This window comes from Homo sapiens, chromosome X (assembly GCF_000001405.40).
Source record: "Homo sapiens chromosome X, GRCh38.p14 Primary Assembly".
Classification (NCBI taxonomy): domain Eukaryota; kingdom Metazoa; phylum Chordata; class Mammalia; order Primates; family Hominidae; genus Homo; species Homo sapiens.
In genome coordinates, this window is record NC_000023.11 from 71,013,201 (window position 1) to 71,021,108 (window position 7,908).

Sequence of the window (7,908 nt, forward strand, 5' to 3'; positions counted from 1 at the left end):
ATCATAGCTCACTGCAGCCTCACACTCCTGGTCTCAAGTGATCTTACTGCCTCAGCCTCTCAAGTTGCTGGGATCACAAACCCAAGCTACTGTGCCCAGCTAAGTTTTGTATTTTTACTAGAGACGGCGTTTCACCATGTTGGCCAGGCTGGTCTCAAACTCCTGACATCAAGTGATCCACCAGCCTTGGCCTCCCAAAGTGCTGGGAGTATGGTCGTGAGCCACTGCACCTGGCCAGGAGATCTATTGTACATCATGATGACTATAGTGGCTCCCAGGCATTGGGAGAAAAGGAATGAATAGGTGGAGCACAGAGGATTTTTAGGGCAGTGAAACTATTCTGTATGATACTGTAATGGTAGATACATGTCACTAAACATTTGTTGAAACCCATAGAATATATAATACCAAGAGTGAACCCTAATGTAAACTATAGACCTTGGGTAGTAATGATGGTTCATTGATAGTGACAAATATACCACTCTGGTGTGGGATGTTGATAGTAAAAGAGATTGTGCGTGTGTGGACAGGAAGTATACGGGAACTCTCTATACCTTTTGCTCAATTTTGCTGTGAACTAAAACTTCTCTAAAAAATAAAGTGTATGGCCAGAAGCGGTGGCTCATGCTTGTAATCCCAGCACTTTGGGAGGCCAAGGTGGGTGGATCATGAGGTCAGGAGTTCGAGACCAGCCTGGCCAACATGGTAAAACCCCGTCTCTACTAAATACAAAAATTAGCCAGGCGTGGTGGTGCGCGTCTGTAGTCCCAGCTACGCTGGAGGCTGAGGCAGGAGAATCACTTGAACCTGGGAGTTGGAGGTTGCAGTGAGCCAAGATCGCACCATTGCACTCCAGCCTGGGCAACAGAGCAAGACCCTGTCTCAAAAAATTAAAATAAATAAAACAATGTAAAACAATAACAACAAAAAATCCTGTATCTTTAAACTTTATCCCCTATGACTCCTTTTTTAGGCCTCCTGCCCTTTTAGGGCAAATTCTCCTGCCTCAGCCTCCCAAGTAGCTTTTTTAGGCCTCACAAAACTTGGTCCATAAAAACCAGTCCATCCCTTTCCTTGCTATCTAGACTGAGAGGCCTAACTCCTCCTCCTTAACTTTGATAAGCCGTCTGAAAAGCCTCTTTAGTACCTCTTCTTTAGTCTCCCTGTGACACTTCAACTCCCGGCAGCCTGCTTTACTCTACCCAGACAAATAACCTAATGACTTATGTCCAAAAGGTGATCTGAACTGATTAAGGAGGAAACTCTTTTTTCTTAGAGATTGTGTCTCACTATGTTGCCCAGGCTGGTCTCAAACTACTGGTCTGAAGTGATTCTCCCACCTCAGCCTCCTGAGTAGCTGGGACTACAGGTGCGTGCCGCCATGCCCAGCTATCTTTTATACTTTACCATCTTCTCTGTTTTCAACTAGCATGGCCTATCCACCTAACCTGTCCATCGTTTTACTATTTTCCAAAAAATTCAAGATTTGAGTCAAACAGAAACATTAAAAATACTAATGGTAAATACTAAGAATGCTAATGTTGGCTGGGCGCGGTGGCTCATGCCTGTAATCCCAGCACTTTGGGAGGCCGAGGCAGGCAGATCACCTGAGGTCAGGAGTTTGAGACCAGCCTGACCAACATGGATAAACCCCATCTCTACTAAAAATACAAAATTAGCTGGGCGTGGTGGCGCATGCCTGTAATCCCAGCTACTCGGGAGGCTGAGGCAGGAGAATTACTTGAACCCAGGAGGCGGAGGTTGCAGTGAGCCAAGATTGTGCCATTGCATTCCAGCCTGGGCAACAAAAGTGAAACTCCATCTAAAAAATAATAATAATAAAAAGAATGCTCATGTTAAAAGTACTATTCTGGAAGGAAAGTATATTAGTCAGAGTTCTCCTGACTATTATATTATATATATATCCTGAAAGTATATTAGTCAGAGAACCAATAGGATACATATAGATAGATATATGAGAGGGAATTTATTAGGGGAATTGGCACACATGATTATAGAGGCTGAGAAATCCCACAACAGGCCATCTGCAAGCTGGAGACCCCAGGATGCTGATAGCATGGTTCAGTCCAAGTCTGAAGGCCTCAGAACCAGGGAAGCCAATGGCGTGTAACTCTCAGTCGGAGGCCAGAGGCCTGAGAACCGAAGGTTAGGCAGGGAGCACTGGTGTAAGTTCTGGAGTCCAAAGACCGGGGAGACCAGAGTTCTGTTGCCCAAAGCAGGAGACAAATGTATCCCAGCTCCAGCAGATAAATCAACACATTTGCCTTTTTCTCATTTTTTGTTCTCTACAGGTCCCTAACAGATTGAATGATGCCTGCCCACACTAAGGGCAAATCTTCCCCACCTAGTCCACTCAGACTCACACAATCATCTCTTCTGGAAACCCTCACAGACACACTCCAAAATAATGCTTTACCAGGATTCTAGGTATTCCTTAATCCAGTCAAGTTGACATCTAAAATTAACCATCAGAGAAAATATATAGAAGTTCTAATTTCTTACAAACTCAGGAAACAAAAGGGAACTACTTTCCTTCAAATGAGTCTAATTTGCATTCATTATAGCCTGATGTCCAAGAGGCTCTGACCCTTAAACTTCTGTAAGCTGCTCTGACAATAAATAAGTAATTGCATACCTATCTGTGAAGAATAATCCTTCACATGATTCAACTTCCTTCTCATTAACTCTGCTTTCCACTGCCTAATAATAGTGACTATTTACTGAGCTCTAAGTATGTGCCAGGCATCGTGTTGAGTGCTTTATTTTTTTAATTTAATTCTTACAGTAAGTATCAATCCACTTGATAGATGAAGAAACTGAAGTTTGGAGAAAGTAAGTAATATTTCCATGATCAGGCAGCTAGTACACAGAAGAGCCAGGATTCATTCTTTCAACTATTAAATATTAAAGAAATCTTTTTTTGTTGTTAATAAAATTTTTGTGGTTTTATTGTATCGTCTGAACAAATCAATGTCTGGGCGGTGAGGCAGCTGCTTTCTCCTTCCCTTCTTTGGGTTACTAGAGCAACTTCTCCATAGATTTAAAAAAAAAAAAAACAAAGGACAACCTTTTGCATTACTTAAGTCTTTCCAAGGCATGCGCTGGTACAACACAAACTTCTCCCGTCAGAAGCAACTAGTCTAGTGTCCAAACATCATGCACAACACCTCGGTGGCAGCAGCGCACTGCGCCACCCGCCACAGCCTTGCTCATTTGTGCATGATATTTGGAGCATCTGGAGGAGTGGGAATAGTATTGGGAAGAGGAGGGAGGAGGAAACAGTATGAGTGCCTGGCTGAGAGGAGGTCAACCGAAGTTGTGCAGGGCAAGCCTGAACATGTCATTGGTGAAAGCATCGTTGATGTTCTTTAATAGGAACATCTGGTGGAAACCCATGATGAGGTCTTCATCCGCCTTAAGCTGACCCACAGCCATGCTGATGATGCAGCTATCTGGCATGGGCTAATGGTCCTGCACCGTGATGCTGTGCTGGATTTTCTGGAACGGAAGGCTAGACAAGTTCTCCACAATGGCAGCTTTCCCTTGGAACTGTTGTCCTTCTCACGTAAGGCATGACGCATCAATGTAAATTGCGCCTAATTGGGTTCTATCGTTATCAAATAACTGGTAGTAATGTTGAATGAAGCTGGATCCAACCTGCTTCCAAATTGGCTTGTCTTCCATTCTGGAGCATCACCCAGCCTCGCGGAGACCCGAGGGGCTGGCATGATGGCGGCAATGGAGGCGGCCAATAAACCTTTAAAATATGATTGGCATCTCTATATAGCCAATATTTCCTTAGAAAAGGGAAATTCATCATAATTAAATTTATATTTATTTAGCTAGTTAGTTATTGCTGAGACAAGGTCTCACTATGTTGCCCAGGCTGATCTCAAACTCCTAGGCTCAAGTGATCCTCCCACCTCAGCCTTCCAAATTGCTGGGATTATAGGCGCAAGCCACCATGCCCAGCCTATAATTAAACTTCTATCCATTTTTAGTATTTTTAGTTTTTTGGGGGTCTTTTTGGGTTTTTTGTTTGTTTTTGAGACAGACAGATATTCATAGATATTTTCACTCTACTGCCCCGGCTAGAGTGCAGTGGTGCCATCATAGCTCACTGCAACCTGAAATTCCTGGGCTCAAGAAATCCTCTAGCCTCAGCCTTCCAAGTAGCTGGGATTACATTAGTGCACCATCATTTCCAGCTAATTTAAAAAGTTTTTTTTAGAAACAGGGTCTCATTATGTTGTCCAGGCTGGTCTCGAACTTCTGACCTCAAGCAATCCTCTCACCTCGGCCTCCCAGAGCGCTAGGATTACAGGCGTGAGTCACCATGCCTGGGCTTCTATTCATTTTAACTTGAAAGCATACTTCCTTTCTATTTAACCTTGCCTTCACAGATATTTTTATTATAGTTCATTGTAAGCTTCTTCATTTTTGAACTCAAGCCAGGTCCCCACACAGGCTTAGTTCTCCTAGTTCTCTCGGTTTTTATAATTAATGACTACCACTCTACTGACTGTGTCCATAACCCCCGGGGCCTCCTCTCTGTTTTGCTGCTTGTAACCCAGGCCTTAACTTGTCCTCTAGGGTCTAAGATTCATATCTATATTTTTCCACATTCCCCTTTTTTATTATTTTTCTTTCTTGTTCTTTTCTACAGAGCCAGAGGACTACTCACCTGGCTAAACCAGAATGACACAGATTGCCTCATAAACTGGAATTCTGACAGCCCAAGAGCACAATATCCCAGGTCACAAATGACAGGACTGTACAAGCAATAGATTTTTTGTGATTTTTTTTTCTGATGGCTGCTAGAATGAAAAATAAAGAAATATTACATCTCTAAGAGTAACCATTAAATTCCTCCATATTACTTCAGAGTAGAAATCAATTTAATAAGTCCCCAGCATGGTGATAAATAATTTTTCTGCTGTTGTCAACCAATATCAAATATACAGTACTAGTATAGAAGCAGCTATAAGGCTCCTTTCCAGCTGATCAACTCCTCTCCTCCACTCCATTGCCAGCAATTATGCACCTCAGTATCCAATTATTCCAATGTTCTTTTATCCTGTAACAAATGGTAGCCAGAACTCAATATGTGCCAGATTATCATCCGGCAATTAATATTCTTAGGGTTTCTTAACTGGAGCTCTACATCTCTGATTCACTCTCATTGTTGCTTTACATTTTCTCTTCTATGCTTCTAGCTATGTATCTTATTTATACAAAGATAAAATTATATCAAATATAGCTAGGGTAATTAAGATGGAACCCTCACACTAAAGCAGATCCTGAGTAGTCCTATATATATTGTGGGTTGCAAATAGTCCTGGAAAAGAATATAAAAAGGTCATTCCAAAAAGTCAATGCATGTTTTTAGAGATGAGTTCTCACTCTGTCACCCAGCGTGGAGTGCAGTGGTGCAATCACAGCTTACTGCAGCCTCAAATTCCTGGGCTCAAGTCATCCTACTGCCTCTGTCTCCTGAGTAACTGGGACTACAGGCACACACCACCATGCCCAGCATCAATACATTTTTTTAAGCTCCAATTTTCTAATTACAAATAGATCAAAAATTCATCACAGTATACTGGATACAGCCCAAGGAAAAATCTGTTTGATACTAAACTGCATTCTTACCAAAATTATGATCTATAGTCAACTTTAATTCTATTGGTGGCATTAATAATTTATCACACATACCAATTTCACATTTGTCATAGTCACAGTATTCCAAAGCTGTCAAATTACTTCCCAGCTACCAATATCAGTTCCCAAATTTCACTGAGATCTAAACAAAACAATTTCAAAAAGTTTCCTTAGTTTACTGTCTAGAGAAATATATATATAATTAATATTATATTATATATATAATATAATATATATTATATATATAATATACTATATATTTTATATATATATATATTTTTTTTTTTTTTTTGAGATGGAGTCTCACTCTGTCGCCCAGGCTGGAGTGCAGTGGTGCGATCTCGGCTCACTGCAAGCTCCGCCACCCAGGTTCATGCCATTCTTCTGCCTCAGCCTCCCAAGTAGCTGTGAGCACAGGTACCCGCCACCATGCCCGGCTAATTTTTTGTATTTTTAGTTGAGACGGGGTTTCACCATGTTAGCCAGGATGGTCTCGATCTCTTGACCTCGTGATCTGCCCACCTTGGCCTCCCAAAGTGCTGGGATTACAGGAGTGAGCCACTGCACCTGGCCAGGAATAATATTTTTAACAATAATGACTCTAGTTATGTTCTGGATTCCAACTAATCACATAGATTCCAATATTATCTTTTTCTTATACAACTAATTGCACCCTATGCTTGAGCCAAAACTAGCCACCATTCCCTAAAACCTTCCAGCTTTTGGTCATGCCCATCCATTCAGCCTCTATCTCATCTTCTTACCTGAACTCTGGTCATCCCAAACCATGAACTGTGCTGCTATTTCCTCCCTGGCAAAGCTCTTCATTTGAGGCTCTTCTTTTCTTTCTTTCTTTCTTTCCTTTCTTTCCTTTCTTTTCTTTCTTCCTTTTTCTTTCTTTCTTTTCTTTCTGACAGTGTTCCTGCTCTATGTTGCCCAGGCTGGCCTCGAACTCCTGGGGCTTGAGTGGTCCTCCCACTTCAGCCTCCCAAGTAGCTGGAATTACAGGTGCACAAACCATGCCCAGCTGAGGCTGTTCATTTTCCTTTGCTCATATCTCCCCATAAGTCAAGATCAGGTTATCATCTTCTTGTATCTTCTTCACTGGATCCCCAAGGTATTATTTTACCATCTTACCTCAATAACCTCTTTCTTCAAAGTTCATAATACTCAATTTTATGACCCTCTCAATGTTAAATGTCAATCTCCAAGTCTCCCCCCAACATTCACTGAGGACTTCAGTACCAACTGTTTTCCTTTTCTCTTCTCATCCTGAAAGTCTTCATTATCCCCCTTGATGATATAACACCCAAACCTCATGGATCCTTGACATAACCTATTCTAACTTCTTCATCTCCATTCCCTTTCAATAATCCATTTCTTTTTTTTTTTTTTTAGGGGAAAGCACAAACTCAGTCTCCCACTACCACACATTATGCAGTCGAGTTTCCTGTATTTGGGGAAATCACAGGGGCCAACACACCCAGAGTGCAATGGATGGGCCTCACCCTGAGAAAACCACCTTTGTGATCATGGTATCTCCCCTGCCAGGTATCAATTATTTGTTGCTGGAGTGACACTTGGAATGGCTCTACTTCCAAAACCAAACACAGAGGGTCCACTCTCAGAACTACTTGTTGTTCTACTTCTCTTAAACCTTATACTCCCTGAATTTACCCTTAAACTGCCTCAAGGCCTTTAATTCATTAACCCTCTTGCCTATTTTCCAAAGCCATCATGTACTTTTGGGTTTTTTGGTTTTTTTTGGCGGGGGGTCTCAAATTCCTTTATTTAAAAAAAATTTATTTCCACAGGTTTTTGGGGAACAGGTGGTGTTTAGTTACATGAGTAAGTTCTTTAGTAGTGATTTATGAGATTTTGGTGTACTCATCACCCGAGCAGTATACACTGCACCATATTTGTAGTCTTTTATCCCTCACCCCCTTCCCACCCTTTCCCCCTGAGTCCCTAAAGTCCATTGCCATCATGTACTTTTGGACTGCATTTCCTTGTCTACTTAGGAAAGAGTCCATGGACAGTGAGACTTCAATAACAGTAACCAACACTCCCTATTCTCCTATCCCCTTGATTTTCCACCATCCCTATTATGTCAATTCTCACCCACAAATCAACCAAACTATTTATATTCTCCATTCCTGCTTACAAAGTACTGCTGAGTAAAATTATATACTCCTGGTCACCAGCTTCCCTTCCATCCTCCACTCCTAA

The 7,908-nt window shown here is 41.7% G+C and overlaps 2 pseudogenes; both read right to left on the reverse strand.

The window, feature by feature from the left end:
- Nucleotides 1-3,130: 3,130 nt before the first annotated feature.
- Nucleotides 3,131-3,770, reverse strand: NUTF2P7 (nuclear transport factor 2 pseudogene 7; annotated as a pseudogene).
- Nucleotides 7,076-7,233, reverse strand: RNU1-56P (RNA, U1 small nuclear 56, pseudogene; annotated as a pseudogene).